The 20,178-nt window shown below is 45.8% G+C and overlaps 1 protein-coding gene across 16 annotated transcripts in view, besides 1 other annotated feature; it reads left to right on the top strand.

Moving 5' to 3' along the window:
- Positions 1–270: a silencer, noted in NCBI's record as "silent region_10035". NCBI's record gives its function as "represses an Ori minimal core promoter by ATAC-STARR-seq in GM12878 lymphoblastoid cells {active_cell/tissue: GM12878}" and the evidence as "EXISTENCE:reporter gene assay evidence [ECO:0000049][PMID:35858748]".
- ZNF558 (zinc finger protein 558) overlaps positions 1–20,178 on the top strand; it is a 31,975-nt gene that overhangs the window by 5,791 nt on the left and 6,006 nt on the right. Inside the window, exons 1-10 of one of the 16 annotated variants that reach the window (XM_024451387.2) lie at positions 50–145; positions 953–1,036; positions 1,463–1,584; positions 7,246–7,352; positions 7,937–8,272; positions 9,630–9,725; positions 10,263–10,351; positions 11,048–11,174; positions 19,132–19,227; positions 19,711–19,793. In XM_024451387.2, the coding sequence (XP_024307155.1) occupies positions 9,695–9,725; positions 10,263–10,351; positions 11,048–11,174; positions 19,132–19,227; positions 19,711–19,793 (426 nt within the window). In that variant the 5' untranslated portion in view covers positions 50–145; positions 953–1,036; positions 1,463–1,584; ... (1 more) ...; positions 7,937–8,272; positions 9,630–9,694. Of the gene's footprint in view, positions 1–49; positions 276–952; positions 1,037–1,462; positions 1,585–7,245; positions 7,353–7,936; positions 8,273–9,467; positions 9,726–10,261; positions 10,913–11,047; positions 11,175–19,131; positions 19,228–19,710; positions 19,794–20,178 lie in introns of those variants that run through there. The other 15 variants (XM_024451395.2, XM_024451394.2, XM_024451388.2 and 12 more) reach the window with 15 other exon arrangements.

Below are 20,178 nucleotides of genomic sequence, written 5' to 3'. Positions count from 1 at the left end.
GGGGACGTGCAGCGCACCTCTCCCCAGACCGGAAGCGGAAGCGCGGGGCGGTACCGTGGGAGGGGCCGCGCGTGGGGCAGCGGGGAGCGAGTCCCTCCGTCCCCGCGAGTCGGCGCTTTTGGCCCCGCGGGAGGGGCCGGGCTCGGTGAGCGACTGGCGGGGGCTCGGGTCCGAGTCCAGGGGGCGACGTGGGCCGCGGACACCGCCAGCCACGGGCCCTGCGTCCCTCCAGGGAGCCGTGTTTCGGTTCATGAGGCCTCGGGCTGTGAGCTTAGGTCAGCACGAAGCTGCTGCTTGCTCCTGGGTCGGGGCCCCGCGCCGCTGTTGCCTCCTCAGGGAACCCCAGTCGCCCTCACCCGGGGCGATTCCGCACCCCAGGGGACTTTTGGCTGTAGCTGGAGACGACTGTGGTTTTCACAAATTGTGGGGAGGGGAGGCTGCTACTGTCACCTAGAGGGTGGAGGCCGGGGAAGAGGGACGCTGCTTGCTCTTAAAGATCCTACGTTGTACAGGACAGTCCCCCACAACAAAGAATTATCAGTAGTGCCAGGTTGGGAAACCCTGCTCTAGGGCCTTAAAAAAAAAATCTCTGCAGTTCTGAATAAACTACATAAATTGTTAAAAATTCAGTTTAGTCACTTAATAGGGCCTCTAAGTGACAAGATATTTTTAAAGCCTGTGGAGTCACCATAGAATCTCTCTCCAGCGTAGTAAGTTGAGCAAGTCAAATGCACACAGCGTTAAGCTGCTTTCTCCCCTCTTACGGAGCAGATGGCCAGATGGGAATCAGGTAAAGCCAGTCATGGCCCACAGGCTGGGCCCTTATTACACATTTAATCATTGAGTACCCAAAAAAAGTGAATGGGATGGTGTTTCCGGCAGCCGTATCCAACAACTGTACAACCTATACAAAGCCTCGAAAGAAATCTTTGTGTCTTTTTTTTTTTTTCAGATGAGAAAAGCATCATTCAAGCTCAGATTCGTGTTGAAGCCTGCCACAAGGTCCACCTGTTGTTGTGGGTTTTTGGGTGACCAGGTGAGTACAGTGTGGAACCTACAACAAGGTTTCAGCAGGCTCTGCTGTGTAGAAGAACTCCTCGTGGGCTTTTCCTGTGCTGGGGTTGTAACCACATTGAAGTCACTAAGAGTGAAGGTATCTTAAGGAAAGTTCAAGGTAAAAAGACAGAGGTGTTTATGGTTACATGTGTGTAAATAAGTAAATACAGTTACATGCAAATAAGTATCCACAAAACAAACATACAAATAACGTAAAGATGTGTAACTGTAGCTAAAGACAGATTTTCTGGTATGCCGTAATGCTAAAAGTTTCTGAATTTTATATAAGTATAGAAAATATTTACATGTATATGTAGTGTTACAAGTCTTCCCACTAACAACTAGCAGGACTACTTAGCAACATTTTTCAGGCCTGTTTGATTTGACTTTTTTTTTTTTTCTTGAGACCAAGTCTCACTCTGTTGGCCAGGTTGGAGTGCAGTGGCGCGATCTTGGCTCATGTCAACCTCCACCTCCCAGACTCAAGCAAATCTCCTGCCTCAGTTTCCTGAGTAGCTGGGACTACAGGCAAGTGCCACCACGCCCAGCTAATTTTGTTTGTATTTTTAGTAGAGACAGGTTTTTGCCATGTTGGCCAGGCTGGTCTTTAACTCCTGACCTCAAGTGGTCCGCCCACCTCAGCCTCCCAAAGTGCTGGGATTACAGGCAAGAGCCACCGCACCCAGCTGTTGATTTGATTTCTAAAGGCATATTGGCCCTCCACCAAACTTCAAAATATAAGGGCATTTGTAAAAAGGATGATTTATTAGTAACAAATTTAAAATTAAATTGACCGGCGACCAGATGTGTTTTGAGTAATGGGATTTTTTTTTTCCTAATGAGATTTGAAAACATTTGGAAGAATATTAAGCAACAACTTATAGATTGAAGGGTAGGGAACTGGTTTCCAAAAAGATTGTCCTCTGCACCTTGCCTCCTGTATTAGTCCTTTTTCACACTGCTATAAAGAACTACCTGAGAGTTTTCACACTGCTATAAATAACTCCCTGAGACTGAGTGACTTACAAAGGAAAGAAGTTTAATTGACTCAGTTCTGCATGGCGGGGGAGGCCTCAGGAAACTTACGATCATGGCAGAAAGCAAAGGGAAAGCAAGGCACGTCTTACATGGCAGCAGGAGAGAGAGAGAAGACATAAACGCCAAACTTCTAAACCATCAGATCTTGTGGGAACTTACTATCAGGAGAACAGCAAGGGGGAAGTCCGCCCCCATGATTCAGTCACCTCCTACCAGGACCCTCCTCTGACACATAGGGATTATTACAACTCGAGATGAGATTTGGGTGGGGGGACACAGAGCCAACGATATCACCTCCTAATAGGAATTAACTTTGTTTCTTAAAACTTCTCTGAAATAACAGTATGGTGATTCATATTGCAGAGAATCATGTTAAGTAATCTAGTATTAAATTGTGGGGTTTCTACTAATTGTGTGTGTGTTCACCTTTTCCATTCTAGCTTTCCTACAGCATTCTTGAAGGAATGTTTACTTATCATGCAATAGATATTATTTGAGTGCACAGTTAATGGTGACCAACCATCCTCATTTTTTCAGGACCAAGGGGTTTGCTAGGGCACAGGGCATCCAGTGTTCAAACCGGGACAATCCTTGGCAAACCAGGTCGCCTCCATGAGTCAGGTCCTAGGTCAGATGCACAGGGACCCTGGAGGACCTGAAATGGCCCCTGTCCTACATAAAGTTTACCTTCTAACAGGGAAGATAAATTTTAAACCATGAATGACAGGAGTGATGTGGGAGCTTGGCACTAGTGAACTTGATCAGAGGGAACAGGGAAGCTTTCTTGGGAAGGATATTTAGCTTGAGAGCTTAAGTTGTTACAGAACCAAACTGGGGTCTGCTCACCTGGTGGTGCAGTGAAACCAGATGTCTATATTGAGGGTTGCTACGATAGATAGAAAGGCTTTTATTGCACAGCACTAAGCAAGGAGGACCAGACATTAAATGTTCAAATCCTGGCCTCCCCAGTGGCTTTTAGGCAAGGAATTTTTTTTTTTTTGAGATGGAGTCTCACTCTGTTACCCAGGCTGGAGTACTGTGTTGCAATCTCAGCTCACTGCAACCCCCGGCCTCCCGGGTTCAAGCAGTTCTGCCGCAGCCTCCTGAGTAGCTGGGATTACAGGCGCCTACCACCATGCCCGGTTAATTTTTGTATTTTCAGTAGAGACGGGGTTTCACCATGTTGGCCCGGCTGGTCTTAATCTCCTGACTTCGTGATCCACCCGCCTCAGCCTCCCAAAGTGCTGAGATGATACAGGCATGAGCCACCACACCCGGCCTTTTTTTTTTTTTTAATGAGACAGAATCTCACTTGGTCACCCAGGCTGGAGTGCAATGGCACGATCTCAGCTCACTGCAACGTCTGCCTCCCAGGTTCAAGTGATTTTCCTGCCTCAGCCTCCCCAGTCCCTAGGATTACAGGCACATACCACCACACCTGGCAAATTTTTTGTATTTTGAGTAGAGACAGAGTTTCACCATGTTAGCCAGGTTGGCCTCAAACTCCTGACCTCAGGTGATCCGCCTGCCTAGGCCTCCCAAAGTGCTGGGATTACAGACATGAGCCACCGTGCCCGGCTAGGCAAGGATTTCTGAAGGCAATGGTAAGTTACAGAAAAGCAGAAGCTACAGGCAAAATCATAAAGCAATACATGGAGGTTACACACTGGTTTAGACTTAAAAGGGCAAGGATGTCTTGAAGCAGGAGCTTGTCATAGGTAGATTCAAAGATTTTTCTGATTTGTAATTGGTTAAAGAAAAGAAGCTTTGTTTAAAAATTTAGAGTCAGTAGGAAAATGTTAACTGGCTGGGAGAAGTGACTTTCTCCAAGCCCCTCAAGAAGAAACTTAGCACAAAGAACGCTGAAGCTCAGCCTTCATGTCCCGCTTATCTGGGGTCTCTGAGCCAGCAGCTCCATTTGGTGGGGTCCTCAGTGGGAGTCCCAGCCTCTGAAAGGCAACTCAGGGACGCATGTTAAGATGTTATCTTTAGTTTCCATGGGGAAAGCGAACATCTCTGGAGCCTTAACTTCTTTGGCTGTTGTTTTAGGTTACTATTACCTTCCTGTTTAACAAGTTCCATATTTACTTTTGGGGCTAGCTGGATGCTCGGAATTTCCCTTAAAGGAACTTCAGGATTTTCCTTTATTTTCCCACTTGGGGTTCACAGGCCCCTGAAAAAGGGAATTGCTGCTCCATCTCCAAGTTGGGGTCAGATGTAGCTAGTCATAGGGCTCGACTAGAGTGAGGGGACAGGGTTATGTCCAAGAGAGCACTGCCGTCGAAGAAGCTGTGTAAGGAAAGGCCCTGCAGCAGGAGAGAGGCTGCCACGCTCCCTGCACTGGGAACACAGGGATGGCTGAAGCCGAGACAAGAACAGGGAAAGAAGCTGGGCGCAGTGGCTCACACCTGTAATCCCAGCACTTTAGGAGACCAAGGTGGGCTGATCACCTGATGTCAGAAGTTCAAGACCAGCCTGGCCAACATGGTGAAACCCCGTCTCTACTAAAAATACGAAAATTAGCTGGGTGTGGTGGTGCACACCTGTAGTCCCAGCTGCTCGGGAGGCTGAGACAAGAGAATTGCTTGAACCTGGGAGGCTGAGGTTGCAGTGAGCAGAGATTGCACCACTGCATTCAGCCTGGGTGTAAGAGTGAGACTCCTCAAAAAAAAAAAAAAAAAAAAAAAAGAATAGGGAAAGAAGTGTGACCAAGACCAAGATCAAGAGGGAGGCAGAACCATACTAGGCCTCACTTCAGACTCTGTTCTCAGGCCAGTGGGAAGACACTAAAGAGTTGTGGGCCAGAGGGTGATGCAATTTGCATGTAGTGTAAGCATGCAGATAACAAGGACTTCAGGATTCAGAAGGAAGACATTTAAGAGGCAAAAGAGGGGGTGTTTGGAGGTAGTTTAGGAATCAGATGATTGCTCCCAAAAAAAATAAAATTTATTTTCTCAGCCATACTAGTCACATTTCAAGTATTAGAGCAGAATTATAGAACATTTCCATCATCACCAGAAGTTGTGTTGGGCAGCTGACATAGAGTGGCCCATCTGCTGTGACCATCCTCCAGCACTGTATCCAGGGCAGGGCAGGTGTCACAGGATCTGTAAACTGAAGAGACCCCTCCTGTCCTAGTGGGAAATTTCTGCTTCCAGACAGCCTTGAATAGGGACTTGGGGCCTGAAAATGTCCCAGGTACCTTCTCTACTTGTTTTTTTCTTGGAGGCCCAGTGAGCTGGCTGGAGGCCAACCCCCCCTCACTCCCCAGCTCAGTGACTGGAACTACTGTGTGCCTACCTGCACATTAGGTCTGTTACGGGGAAAAAGGAGATACTTCCCCCTGTAGAGGGTAGGGAAGTTCTGCAGCAGTTGCCTGGGTCTGCTGAACTCACCCAAAGGGAAGGTGTGATGTGAAAGGCATGTTAGTTTCCTATTGATGCTATAACAAACTACCACAAATTCAGGGACTTAAAACAACACACATTTATCCTCTTGCCTTGCTGGAGGTCAGAAATCCTCAATAAGCTGGAAGGCCTGCATTCCCTCTAGAGCAGGAGTCCCCAGCCCCTGGGCCACGGACCAGTGCTTATAAACAGGGCTGCACAGCAAGATGTGAGTGGCAGGTGAGCGAAGCTTCATCTGTATTTACAGCCACTCCTCATTGCTCGCATTACCACCTGAGCTCCACCTCCTGGCCGATCAGTGGCAGCATTCGATTCTCATAGGAGCCCAAACCCTATTGTGAACTTTGCATGTGAGGGATCTGGATTGCACACTCCTTAGGAGAATCTAATTCCTGATGATCTGTTGCTGTCTCCCATCACCCCCAGATGGGACCATCTAGTTGCAGGAAAACAAGCTCAGGGCTCCCACTGACTCTATATTATGGTGAGTCGTATAATTATTTCATTATATATTACTGTGTAATATAATAGAAATAAAGTGCAGAATAAATGTAATGTGCTTATAAAACATCATCCTGAAACCATTCCCTGCCCAGCCCCACTGCCGCCCCGTGCTCCATGGAAAAATTGTCTTCCACGAAACCAGTCCCTGGTACCAGAAAGGTTGGGGACCACTGCTCTAGAGGCTCTAGGGGAGAACCCATTTCCTGCGTTTTTCATCTTGTAGAGGCCACCAGCCTTCCCTGACTGTGGCTTGTTCCTCCATCATCAACACCAGCAGGGCAGCATCTTCCAGTCTCTCTGTATGTTATCTCCTCCCTGCTACACACACGCTCCCTTCTTCTCTCATCTCATCCCATCCTTCTTTGAACTGACCCTCCTGTTTCCCTTTTATAAGGACCCCTGTAATCACAGTGGGCCCACCCAGCATCATCCCCCATGTCAGGATCCTTGCCTTCCTCACAGCTGCAGAATCCCTTTTGCCATGTAAGGGAGTAGATCCAGAGGTTCTGGGGATTAGAACACAGACCCCTTTCTTGGGAGAGCAGGAAGTTAATCATCTGTCTACCACAGAGGCCCAAGAGCCAAAGACTCCCTCCAACTTGATTTTTTGACGGAACCCGAACTCACCCTGAATGTCCAGTGCCCCCATCCCTGCCCATTCACACCCTTCACTCCTTTTATCTTTTGGGTTCATGTCATGGAGGTCACACATGGAAACCTCCAGAAGCTGGCTTTATGGAGTTACGTTTTATTCTATAAATCTGGAGAAAGGAGGCTTTCTCGTCTTATAAAAAGGACACATGACATTGCTTTGTACCTTGATTTTTTTTTCACTTAAATTTATTGGAGATAATCTCTCTGAATACCTAGAAATCTTTTCAGGGGTTCTTTGTTTTGGTTTTGGTTTGGGGTTTTTTTTTCCTGGCTACATGTTTCTTTGTTATTTATTAAGTTGCTGCAAAAGTAATTGCAGGTTTTGCCATCGAAAGTAATGGCAAAAACCGCAATCACTTTTGCACCAACCTTAAAGCTATCACATAGTTTATTCACCCAATCCCCTACTGATGGTCACTTGTGGTGTTTTCAATCCTCTGCGATTATATGAAGTGCCACAGCGAATCATCTTACACGTGTCTTTCAGTATTTGTGTACCTTTGAGATAGATTTCTAGAAGTGGGTTCTAGGAAAGAACAAATGTTTTTTGCAGGTTTGCTTGACATCAGCACGTTTCCTTCCCTAGGGGTTACCCCCAGCAGTGTGTGAGAATGAAGAGTGTGGGCCACTGTGTCTCTGTTGACCTGCCAGATAGGAAATAGCGCCAGAGTTGCTGCAATCCACGTCTCCCTGGTGAGTAAGGTCATTGTCGATTCCATCAAGGGTATTGTCCTTGGGATGATAGTAGGGAAGCCAGATTGCACCGTGTGAGGACTCAGGAAAGGGGACAGAGTGAAGAGCTGTGGCTGGGATGGGGGATACAGACGGGGCAGTAACCGGAAAGAAAGCTGTACCCCAAGGATGGGCTCATCGCACTACAGAAGATGCCACATCAGGCTTGAGGGGCATGAGGAAGGGTCTAGCAGCACGGGAGAGCTAGAAGGGAAAGGGCGGAGGAGAGAGCTTCGAGCACAGACAGCTCCTCAAAAGCAGGAGGGTGGACCCCAGGCCAGAACTGCCCAGCAAGCCCTGCGGAGAAGGCAGGCAGCTCCTTGTCTGCGATGGGAGGAGGCAGAAGGGTGGGGCACAGGTTGCAGTGCTGGCAGCAACACAGGAAAGTAGATTCCTCCTCATGATCTTTACCCTGAGAAGCAGGATCGGGATTGTCTGCTGAAAATGAGATGATTTGTCATCTCTTGCTGCCTAACAAATGATCTCAAACCTTAGTCACTTGAAACAATGACCATGTATCGTCTCTCACTGTTTTTGTGTTTCAGGAATTCAGGAGCAGCTTGGCTGGAAGGCTCTGGCTGGAAACTTGCAGAAGGCTGTCAGCTGGGTCTGCATCATCTGAAGGCTCAACGGGTACCGGGGGCCACTCCATGGCCTGCGAGTCAGAGCTGGCCGTCGGTGGGAGGCCTCAGTTCCTCTCCACATAGGCCTCTCCACAGGGCCACTTGAGCGTCTTCCCACCATGGCAACTGGTGTCCTCTAGAGCAACATCCAGGAGACCAAGGCGGAAGCAGCTGTAGTGCCTTCCAAGACCTGGTCCTGAAAGTCACCCCTGCACCCACCCCCGCTGTCTCCTCAGCCATATTCTGCTGGTCACACAGGTCAGCTCTAATTCCGTGTGTGCGTCGGGCCTACACAGGGTGTGAGCACCGGGAGGCTGGGATCGTCAAGGGCTCGTTAGGAAGCAGTTACCACAGAGGGGACAGGGGAGGAGGTGTGAAGTTTAAAGAGAGGAGAGGAGGTTTGACGAGTGGGAAGCCATGCTGACCTGTGGGATCGCCCTGCAGGCTGAGGGTTCTCTACACGTTGGTGACCGTGTTATTCCAGAGTGGCAACGTCACAGCCTTTGCACAGGGTGGTCTGCCCGAATGTCCCCTGGAGCAGGTGGATGATTGAAGTCACGCCTGGCTGGAGTTCTGCTGGGCTGGCATGACAGTGGGGGGTAGGGAGGAGGAAATCAGCTGAAATGAGGGACAGTGACATCCAAGCTGGGTGAGGATGAAATCAAGAGAGGGGGTGGCTGAGGCAGGAGAGGGGGTGACCAAGGCAGAGCATAGGTAGGAGAGGGGCTGACTGAGGCAGGAGGGGGGTGACTGAGGCCGAGCACAGGCAGGAGCAGGGTGACCAAGGGCAGGAGTTGGGGTAACAGGCAGAACATGGGCAGGAGAGGGGGTAACTGAGGCAGAGCACAGGCAGGAGGGGGGTGACCAAGGCAGGAGGGGGGTGACCGAGGCAGGAGGGGGGTGACCGAGGCAGGAGGGGGGCTGACTGAGGCAGGATGGGGGTGACCGAGGCAGGAGAGGGGTTGACTGAGGCAGGAGGGGGGTGACCGAGGCAGGAGGAGGTGACTGAGGCCTGCGTGTGGTCGGAGGACATGCGGTGAGAGAAAAAAGGAGTGAACGCCGTGGAAGTTGAGGAGGGAGGTTGGGTTCAGAGAGAGGGGAGTTTCTGAACGTTGTTCTGGGTGGTGGGACAGTGCCCGGTGATGACCAAGGCTGAGGGGACCTGTGGAAACATGTGGCTGATGAGAGAAGGAACAAAGGGCCCTGGAGCTGAGGAACTCCTGAGACTCTGGGGGTCTCTGACATCCTCCAGGAGCTGGGACTGGAGGTGGGAGGAGTTATGGAGGCGCCGGAGTCCCCGGGGAAGGAGGGAGTAGCCGGGAATGCGTTTGTGGTGCGCTTGGATGGGAAGAACATGCCGTGAGACTGCGTGAAGCCGAGGTTCTCAAAGCGGGTGGGTCAGGGAGGTACTGGTCGTTGTGTTGGGGACAGAGGAAGGCAAGTTTTCCATCAGGTGGCCCTGAATTCATTGCCTGCTCAGCAAAATAAAGGCCCAGTGTGGAAGCCGGAACTTGCATTTGAAGAAGGATGGGAAGGATGGGTTGAGGAGGGCCCATCCCCAGCAGCCCGAGAGGGAGGAGGCCACGGAGACTTGGAGCATTCCCGTTTCTTCCAGAGCGCTGCGGGATAAAGGAGGAGCGTCCTGCTTCCCGGCTGCCCTGTTGCTGTCGGAGTCACAGGATGGCGGCTGTCATCCTGCCCTCGACTGCTGGTGAGTCGTGGGGTCCTGACATTTCTCAGAGTCCAGCCTTGAAAGGTTCTGACCCACAGCATGGGACACGAGCGGGGTTGGGCAGAGCAGGTGAGGCAGGAGTGGAGCCCCAGGGGCCCAGAGGTCCTCCGTGTCTGATCGGGCAGCTCTCGGGATTTGGGACTTAGGCATTTGGGTGTCTGTGGATGTCACCTGTGTGGTGAATGTGCTGGAGCTTTTGAATTCTCCCTTTAGTTCTTTCTGTGAATCTGATAAAAACACAGTGACGCCCTTGGAACTTGTTTCCTCATCTGTGAAGTGGGAATAATCCCTTCCCCAAGTGCAGTCAGACCTTGAGCCCTATTGTCTTTGGTTGGTGAGACAGGGCTGTGTTTGGGTATCTTAGGAGAGCTGTGGGTAGGTGTTTGCATGGAGCGTAGGTGGGCACTGTGTGGTGCCTCATCCGTGTGGGTGTGGGAGGTGGGTGTGGTCAATCAGGGGCAGATCTGTGGGTGTCAGACAAGCCTGAATCCATGGGACTCATTTCTCCTCCTCCAGCTCCGTCTTCCCTGTTCCCAGCCTCTCAGCAAAAAGGACACACACAGGGCGGAGAGCTGGTTAATGAGCTCCTGACAAGCTGGCTACGGGTGAGTCAGATGTTCCTTTTCCCAAATCATTATTCCTTTGGCCAGAAGGTTGGACTTGATACCTTCCAGCAGCCTGGAGCCTCATGGCCAAACCAGGTCCTCAGGCATCCCAGGATTTCCAGGCATCAGATGGAGGGTGAGGGCTGCCCAGAAAATGTCAGTGTGTGTCAACATTTACTGCAGGTTCAGAGCTCCCTCCAGGGTCCCTGAGTACATCATGTGCTCCTGAGAGTTTTAAGGGAAAGCCAAGTAAAGACGTGATGATGTTCTAAACCCAAGCAATTAATAAACGCCACGGAAATCAGTCATTCACTTACCAAGTATTTCTCTGCTTTCTGCCATGTCACGGGCCCATGATCCCCTGGAGATTGAGGGAAATAAGATCACAGGAGCTCCCAGTCTGAGTGAGAAAAGGCAGCTGCTCTGTGGTACTGTGCACTGGACCTGGGAATGGCCTAAGGAGACAAGCATTGAGGGCTGAGCTCAGAAGCCAGGGAGAAGAGCTCAGAACCCCAGGAGAGGAGCTCAGAACCCTGGGAGAGGAGCTCAGAACCCTGGGAGGTGAGCTCAGAACCACCCCCCCCAACATCTCGTGCTCAGGTTTCCCCAGCCCTGGCTCTGTTCTCCTGGCCCCTCTTCCTGTGCACGTTGGTGGGGGTGGTCCTTGGCTAAGCCGTGATGTTTGCAATGCTTTAGGGCTTGGTAACCTTCGAGGATGTGGCCGTGGAGTTCACCCAGGAGGAGTGGGCGTTGCTGGACCCTGCCCAAAGGACACTGTACAGGGATGTGATGCTGGAGAACTGCAGGAACCTGGCCTCACTAGGTAAGCCTAATGTCATTCCTGCATTTATTTAATGACTCCAGTGGCAACACTTGCCTGCTTTGCTTACTTTTTTTATTGTGGTAAAATCCATACAACATAAAATTCACCATTTTTAACCATTCTAAGATATCCAGTCCAGTGGTTTTTCATACATTCATGGTATTGTGCAACCATCAACACTATCTAATATCACCATATTTTCATCACCCTGAAGGAAACCCCGTCCCTATGAAGCAGCCAATACCCGTTACTTTCCCTACCCACTGCTGCTGGTAACCACTCATCTGGTGTCTGTCTTTAGGAATTTACCTATCCAGAACATATCATATAAATGTAATTACAAAATACATTACCTTTTGTGTCTGACTTTTCATGTAGCACAGTGTTTTAAAAACTTAGCTATGGGCCAGGTGTGGTGGCTCACACCTGTAATCCCAGCACTTTGGGAGGCCGAGGCGGGCGGATCACGAGGGCAGGAGTTCGAGACCAGCCTGACCAACATGGTGAAACCCCATCTCCACTAAAAATACAAATTAGCCGGACGTGGTGGCACACACCTATCCCCAGCTAGTCAGGAGGCTGAGGCAGGAGAATCGCTTGAACCAGGAGGCAGAGGTTGCAGTGAGCTGAGATTGTGCCATTGCACTGCAGCCTGGGCAACAGAGCACAACTGTGTCTCAAAAAAAACAAAACAAAAAAACTTAGCTATGTTGTATGTTGTACCAGCGCTTCATTCCTTATGACTGAATGATATTCCATTGTATGGACATACCACATTTTGCCAATCCATTTTTCTATTGAGAAACATTTGAGTTGTTTCCACTCTTTGACTATCAAGAATAATGCTATAATACTATGAATTTTTGTGTACGAGCTTTTGTTTAAATGCCCACTTTCCATTTTCTTGGGCATATACTAGGAGTGGAAGGCTAGGTCTGTGTTTAGCTTCTTGAGGAACTGCCAGACTTTTCCACAGCAGCTGCACCATTGCACGTTCCCGCCAATGCAGGAGGGTTCCAGCTTCTCTGCATCTTCCCAGCACTTGCCTTTTTGATTATACTCATACCAGTAGGTATGAAGTGCTATCTCGTTCTTGTTTTGATTTGCATTTTTCTAATGACAAATGACATGGAGCATCTTTTCATGTACTTGTTGAGTATTTTTCTTTGGAAAAATGTCTATTCAAGTCCTTTGCCCATTTTTGTTATTGTTGTTATTTGTTTGTTTGCTTGTTTTGACACAGTCTCCCTCTGTCGCCCAGGCTGGAGTGCAGTGGCGCAGCACGATCTCGGCTCACTGCAACCTCTGCCTTCCGGGTTCAAGTGATTCTCATACCTCAGCCTCTCAAGTAGCTGGAATTACAGGCATGTGCCACCATGCCTGGCTAAATTGTTTTGTATTTTTTATAGAGACAGGGTTTCGCTGTGTTGGCCAGGCTGGTCTCAAACTCCTGGCCTCAAATGATCCGCCTGCCTTGGCCTCCCAAAGTGCTGGCATTACAAGTGTGAGCCACCGCTCCCAGTCCTCTGCCCATGTTTTACTTGGGTTGTTTATTTTTGTTGTCGGATTTTAAAAGTTCATTTTATATTCTGGGTACCAAATCCTTATTCAAAATATAATACATAAATGATTTCTCTATTCTTTGGGTGTCTTTTCATTTTCTTGATAGTGTCCTTTGATGCACAAAAGTTTTAATTGTGACCAGGCAGAGTGGCTCACGCCTGTAATCCCAGCACTTTGGGAGGCTGAGATGGATGGATCACTTAAGGTCAGGAGTTCAAGACCAGCCTGGCCAACTTAGTGAAGCCCCATCTCTACTAAAAATGCAAAAATTAGCCAGGCGTGGTGGCAGGTGCCTGTAATCCCACCTACTCGGGAGGCTGAGGCAAGAGAATCACTTGAACCTGGGAGGCAGAGGTTGTAGTGAGCCGAGATCCACTATATTCCAGCCTAGGCGACAGAACGAGACTCCGTCTCAGAAGACAAAAAAAATTTTAATTGTGATGAAGTCTGTTGTATCTAGTTTTTCTTTTTTGCTTGTGCTCTTGGTGTGATACCTAAGAAACCATTGCTCAAGTCAAGGTCATGAAGATCTACCCCTATGTTTTCTTCCAAGAATTTTCTAGTGTTAACAATTCCACTCAGCTGTGTGATAGATTTTGAGTGAATTTTGCTTATGGTGTGGAGAAAGGGTCAACTTCATTCTTTTGCATGTGTGTATATCCAGTTGTCTCACCACCTTTATTCTTTCCCCATCAAATGACCTTGGTACCCTTATTGAAAATTATGTGGCCATACACACTGGAGTTTATTTACATACTCTCAATTCTGTTCCATTGGTCTGTATATCTCGAACTCCTGACCTCAAGTGATCCGCCTACCTGGGCCTCCCAAAGTGCAGGGATTACAGGCATGAGCCACTGCTCCTGGCTCCATTGGTCTATGTATCTGTCCTTGGGTCAGTACCACAATGCCTTGATTATTGTTACATTGTAGTAAGTTTTGATAACAGTAAGTGTAAATCTTTCTACTTTATTCTTCTTTTTCACTTCTTGTCTGTTCAAGATCCCTCGCAATGCCATGAATTTTCAGATCAGTTTGTGTATTTCTGAAAGGAAAAAAAACTCAGAATTTTGATAGTGATTGTTTTATCTCTGTAGATAATTTTGGGTAGTATTGTCACCTTAACAATATTAAGGCTTCCAATACATAACTTTATTATTTTTTTTGAGACAGAGTCTCACTCTGTCACCAGGCTGGAGTGCAGTGGTGCGATCTCGGCTCACTGCAACCTCCGCCTCCCAGGCTCAAGTGATTCTCCTGCGTCAGCCTCCCGAGTAGCTCGGACTACAGGTGCGCACCACCACGCCCAGCTAATTTTTGTATTTTTAGTAGAGATAGGGTTCCACCATGTTGGCCGGGATGGTCTCAATCTCTTGACCTCGTGATCCACCCACCTCGACCTCCCAAAGTGCTGGGATTTCAGGCGTGAGCCACTGCGCCTGGCCCTGTTACTCATTTTTAATTTCATTCCATTGTGGTTAAGGAAGATACTTTGTATGAGTTCATTGTTTTTTAATTTAGTCAGACTTTTTTTATAGCCTAACATATAATCTATCCTGGAGAATGTTCCATGTGCATTTGAGATGAATATGGATTCTCTTGTTGGGTGGTGTGTTCTTTATATATTTGTTAGGTCTAGTTAGTTTATTGTTTAATCCTTCTGTTTCCTTTTTGATCTTCTAATATGTTGTTTTATCCATTATTGAAAGTGGAGTATTGAAGTCTCAAACGATTATTATAGAACACTCTATATCTTCCTTCAATTATGCCAGTTTTTACTTCATACATTTTGGAGTTCTTATTAGGCACATATATGTTTATAATCGTTACATTTTCTCCATAAATTGATGCTTTATACAACTATAATGTCTTTCTCTGTTTTATAACAATTTTTATTGTATGAAATATCTTTTTCCATTCTTTCACTATTGGCCATATTTGTGTCTTTGAATATAAAGCAAGTGTCTTATAGACAGTATGTACACATGCTCCGCAACTTTGATGGGGCTATGTCCCAATAAAGCCATTGTAAGTTAAAAATACCATAAGTCAAAAATGCAAAACAATGAAAAAAAAAAAAGTCAAAAATGCATTTAATTCACCTAACCCACTGAACATCATAAGTTAGCCTAGCCTAAACATGCTCAGAACACTTACATTAGCCTACAGTTGGGCAGTGGGCTAACATAGCAGTGTATTTTAAATAAAGTATTGAATATCTCAACAATTATAAATTATATATTTAATATGGTACTGAAAGTGAAAAATAGAATGGTTGTAGGGTACTTGAAGTGTGCTTTCTACTGAATGCGTATGATCTTTGTACCATCATAAAGTTAAAAAATCATACCATGGTAAGCTGGGGACCATCTGTAATTGGGTTATTTTTTAAATCCATTCTGCCAAAATCCACCTTGTAATGATGTAATTACTGATAAGGAAGGAGCTACTTCTGCCTATTTACTATTTGCTCTATAACTATTTACTTTTTTCTACGTGTCATATCATTTTTGTTCCTAAGTTCTTTCATTGTTGTTTTGTGTTAGATATTTTCTAGTGGACCATTTTGATTCCCTTCTCATTTCTTTTTAATCTTTTTAGTTATTTTCTTAGTGGTTGCCCTGAGAATTTTAATAAGCATTTTAATTTATAACAATCTAGTTTAATAGCAACTTAGTTTCAATAGTATATAAAAACTTTGTTTCACTGTAGCTGTTCTGTTTAGTAATTTTGTCACAAATTGCATCTGTATGCATTGTGTGCCCATTAATGTAGATGTGTAATCATTTATGCTTTTGTCTTTAAATTATGTAGTAATAAAAGAGAAGTTATAAACCAAAAACACATTGTCAGTGACTTTTATATTCACCTCTGTATTTACCTTTACCTGTGTTCTTCACTTCCTTCTGTGGATTCAAGTTACTCTCCATTATCTTTTCATTTTGTCCTGAAGTCACCCTTGATCATTTTTTGTAGGGTAGATGTAATAGTGACAAACACTCAGTCTTTGTTTATGGGAAGGTCTTCATTTCTTTATTTTTGAAGGGGAGTTTTGCCAGATATAGAATTCTTGGTTGCCATTTTTTCTCAGCTCTTTGAATGTACCACTCCAGCGCTTGGTGGTTTCCATGGTTTCTATTGAGAAATTGACTGTAATCTTACCGAGGATCCTGTTTACGTCATAAGTCATCTCCGTCTTGCTGTTTTTAGGATGCTGCCTTTGTCTTTCAACAGTTTGATTAATATGTGTTTGATGCCGGCTGCAATGGTTCACGCCTATAATCCCAACACTTTGGGAGGCTGAGGCAGAAGGACCCCTTGAGGTCAGGAGTATGAGACCAGCCTGGGCAACTTGGACCCTGTCTCTACAAAAAATTAAAAAATTAGTCAGACGTGCTGGTGCACACCTATGGTCCCAGCTTCTTGGAAGGCTGAGGTGGAAGGATTGCTTGACCCCAGGAGATTAAGGCTGCAGTGAGCCATGATCACACCACTGCACTCCAGCGTGGGTGACAGAATAAAACCCTGGCTCAAAAAATGTGTGTGTGTGTGTGTGTGTGTTTCAGTATGAATCTCTATTTTTTCAAATTTATTCTACTTGAGTTTGTTGAGCTTCTTGGATTTGTACATTTGTGCCTTTCATCAAATTTTGGGAAGTTTTTAGCCATTATTTCTTCAACCTTCTCACCCTTTTCTCTCTTTACATCTCTCTGGTTCTCCACATCCTATATATGTTGGTAGGTTCGATGGTATCCCAAAGGTCTCAGGCTCTGTTCATCTTTTTTAAAACTCACATTCTCTCTCTCTCTCTCTCTCTCTTTATCTTTGAGACAGGTTCTCACTCACTCTGTCACCTAGGCCGGAGTGCAGCAGAGTGATTGTGGCTTACTGCAGCCTTGACCTCCTGGGCTCAAGTGATCCTCCCACCTCAGCCTCCCAAATAGGGAGGCATGGCTAGAGACGTGCATCACCATGCCCAGCTAATTTTTTTAATTTTTTGTAGAGTCAGGATCTCACCATGTTTCCCAGGCTGGTCTTGAACTCCTGGTTGCAAGCAGTCCTCCTGCCTCAGCCTCCCAAAATGCTGGGATTATACATGAGCCATTGCACCTGGCATCTCTCTTTTTTCTGCTCCTCAGACTGGATAATATCGATTGTCCTATCTTCATGGTCACCAATTTTGTCTTCTGCCTGCTCAGATATGTTCTGAATGTTTCATTTCAGCTATTGTACTTTTCAACTCAAATTTTTTTATTTGCCTTCCTAAAGTTTCTGTCTCTTAATGTTTTCCATTTTTTGTATTTTTTTGATATGCCATAGTTGTACCTATTTTGCTGTTTTTCATTTGATGAAAATTTGTATTCATGGTTTCCTTTAGTTCTTTATACATATTTCTTTTACATCTTTTAGCAGATTTTAAATAGTTGACTTATTTTACTTGTCTAGTTAAGTCCAGTGTTTGAACTTCTGAAGGGACAATTTCTACCAGCTTCATTTTTCTTGTAATGGGCCCAACGTTTGTTTCCTTGCCTCCCTCATAATTATTTTGTTGAAACTAGGGTATTTGGAATATTATAATATAGCAATTTGGGAATCAGACTTTTCCCCATCTCCAGAGTTTGTTTTACTTGTTGTAGTTGGTATTGTATCTATAGAACATACAACAGTTCTAAAGTTAGTTGTGAAATAGAACTATTGTGTGTTCTAAAGTTGTAGAATATCATATATTGTAAACTCCTGTTAGAATATACAATAGTTCTATTTCAGAACTAACTTTGTAATGTCTGTATTTGTCATGTGTGGCCACCGAAGTCTCTTTTCTGATAGCGTAATGGTCATATAGTGATTTGAAGGCCTGGAACAAAAAAGGAAAAAACTTCTAGTCTCTTTACGTGGGCTCTGTGTGTACATAGGGACATGCCTTTAATACTTAGGTAGGCATTTAACTGTGCCTTGACCTTCATTTCTGGCTTGTGCAGAGCCTGAAGGTCACCAAAAGATGAGGGTTTTGTGCCTTCTCAGGTATTTTCTGGGCATGCTCCCAGCCCTGAGTATGTGCTTGGAATTACAGGTTCTTAAGAATATGAGGAAGATTTTCAAAGTCCTACTCCCCAAACATCTTTTTCCCCATTTTTCCTTTCAGGCTTTTCGGTTAGTCTTTTGTTTGCTTCTACTGTTTTCTCTTGCCTCAAGCAGTACTGACTAATACATTTACCTTTACATCTGTCGATCACGTGTGTTCCAGGTAACCAGCTCAGTCCTGAAAGAATTTGGAGTTAGATAAATAAAGACAACCCTTTGAGCCAGTCCTTCAGGGAACCACCAGACAGGTCAGGAAGAGCAACCACAGAGTAAGGTCTGTTCTGCTCCCTGCAAGTACTAGGAATGCAGGCTGTTGTCTTCAAGGTTGTAGAAAAAGCAGGGGAAAGAGGTCCATTTAAAGTATCATAAAGCTCTCTTACCCAGATTCAGCTGGGTTTTCTGAGAAGGCATTCTCCTGATTGCTGTGGACTTTTGATACATTTCAAGAATTCCGATAAAGTTGATTCGGACCGCTTTTGCCAGTTTACTCACTGTTTTTGTGGAGGGATGAACGTTTGGAATTCCGTCCTCCACCACTGTCACTGTCATCACTTCTTTCAAGTTTTCTTGAGCACCTCTGTGTTCCTAGGTCTGTGCAGTGACTTGGGAGTACAGTGATGAATGGGACCATATGGTCCCACCCTCATGGGCAGTCTCTAATTCCTGCCTTATGAACTGAAGATCTATTTCTTGTCCTGACTTTATATTCTTCATGGTTAAAAGTTTTGGGGCCTCTGAAGTGTGCATTTGAACTCAGGCATGGCCTTCTGGGGCTGTTTATGCCCTATCACCCTGAATATCTAGTTGAATATGCTTGTTGCATTTTTGTTCAGTGAGAGTTACCATATGCACTAGAATTAAGGTATAATTGGCAGGGCGTGGTGGCTCATGCCTGTAATCCCAGCACTTTGGGAGGCCAAGGTGGGTGGATCACGAGGCCAGGAGATCAAGAGATCAAGACCTGCCTGGCCAATATGGTGAAACCCCGTCTCTACTAAAAATACAAAAATTAGCCGGGCGTGGTTGTGTGCACCTGTAGTCCCAACTACTTGGGAGGCTGAGGCAGGAGAATCGCTTGAACCTGGAAGGCAGAGGTTGCAGTGAGCCGAGATCATGCCACTGCACTTCAACCCGGGCGACAGAGCAAGACTCCATCTCAAAATAAATAAAAAAAAGAAAAGAATTAAGGCATAATTTATTTCACTGCTCCTAAAGTCACACTTTTCCATCTTCATAAATGTTGGCTTTCTTTCATGGACTTGGTTGTCCCCAGCACTGTTACCTATATCATGTGTATTGTTTCCATAAATAGGGTGTCGTGTTAATAAACCCAGTCTGATATCCCAGTTGGAACAAGACAAGAAGGTGGTGACAGAGGAAAGAGGAATTCTACCAAGCACCTGTCCAGGTGAGCACCAGGTGGATATGAGCCCTTGTGAGGAATAGCTCTGGCCAGTGACTTGGGGGTTGGGAGTATTACATTAGTTCATGTCAATCAGGGAACTTTGTAAAATACCCTGTTCCTGACAAACATGCACGAGAACATTTGGTGTGAGCTTCCTCATGTCCTTTCTTTTCTCTCTAACTCCCTTGTCATCATCTCATACTTCACTTTGGGCTCAGGGAAGAAACAAAGATGCAACTCTTTTGAAAATTTCAGTCAAGTTCCTTTCCACTTTGCATTCCTGATCACTCCTCTTGTCAATCTGTGATCAATCTCAATTTGTCTAGAATCCTTTTTTAAAATTAATACCTAAAATTTTCATAACCAAATCCTCTTTGTTGCAAACATCCTCAAAAACCCTGATCCCTCAGAATCTGCCTTTACTCATGTGTACACTTTTCCATTTCTTTTCTCCATCAACCTAAATTTCTTTTCAATTTGTTTCAGATTTGGAGACTCTACTTAAAGCCAAATGGTTAACTCCTAAGAAGAATGTTTTCAGAAAAGAACAGTCTAAAGGTGTAAAAACGGTAAGACTAACATGGGTGATTTCTGGTTTTCTACAGTAGGAGAATGCCTTAAGTTTAGAAAGGGCACAAAATAACCAGGAGAGGCATTAAAGGAAAGTGTCATTTATAATTGAGAATGCTGTGTTCCTGGAGAGACACTGTGAAAATTATAAATATTTAGAGAAGTGTGAGTTAGCTCCAAACTTATTTCTTCACGGAGAGTTCCCACAAGTAAATATTTCCTATCTGTGGCTCAGATATTGACTGTTGGAACAAAACTTCATCCACACGTTATCAGAAAATGTTTTGTGCATCTGATAAGGACTTGTGGCAAAGCATCTATGTTTTTTAACTTTCTTAGAGCTAAAACTGGGCAGAAATCACATACAACCACTGAAAGTAGCCA

The sequence above is a fragment of the Homo sapiens genome, chromosome 19 (assembly GCF_000001405.40).
Source record: "Homo sapiens chromosome 19, GRCh38.p14 Primary Assembly".
Lineage (NCBI taxonomy): Eukaryota > Metazoa > Chordata > Mammalia > Primates > Hominidae > Homo > Homo sapiens.
The sequence above is the reverse complement of the archived record's forward strand: the minus strand, read 5'-3'. Positions and strand labels throughout refer to the sequence as shown.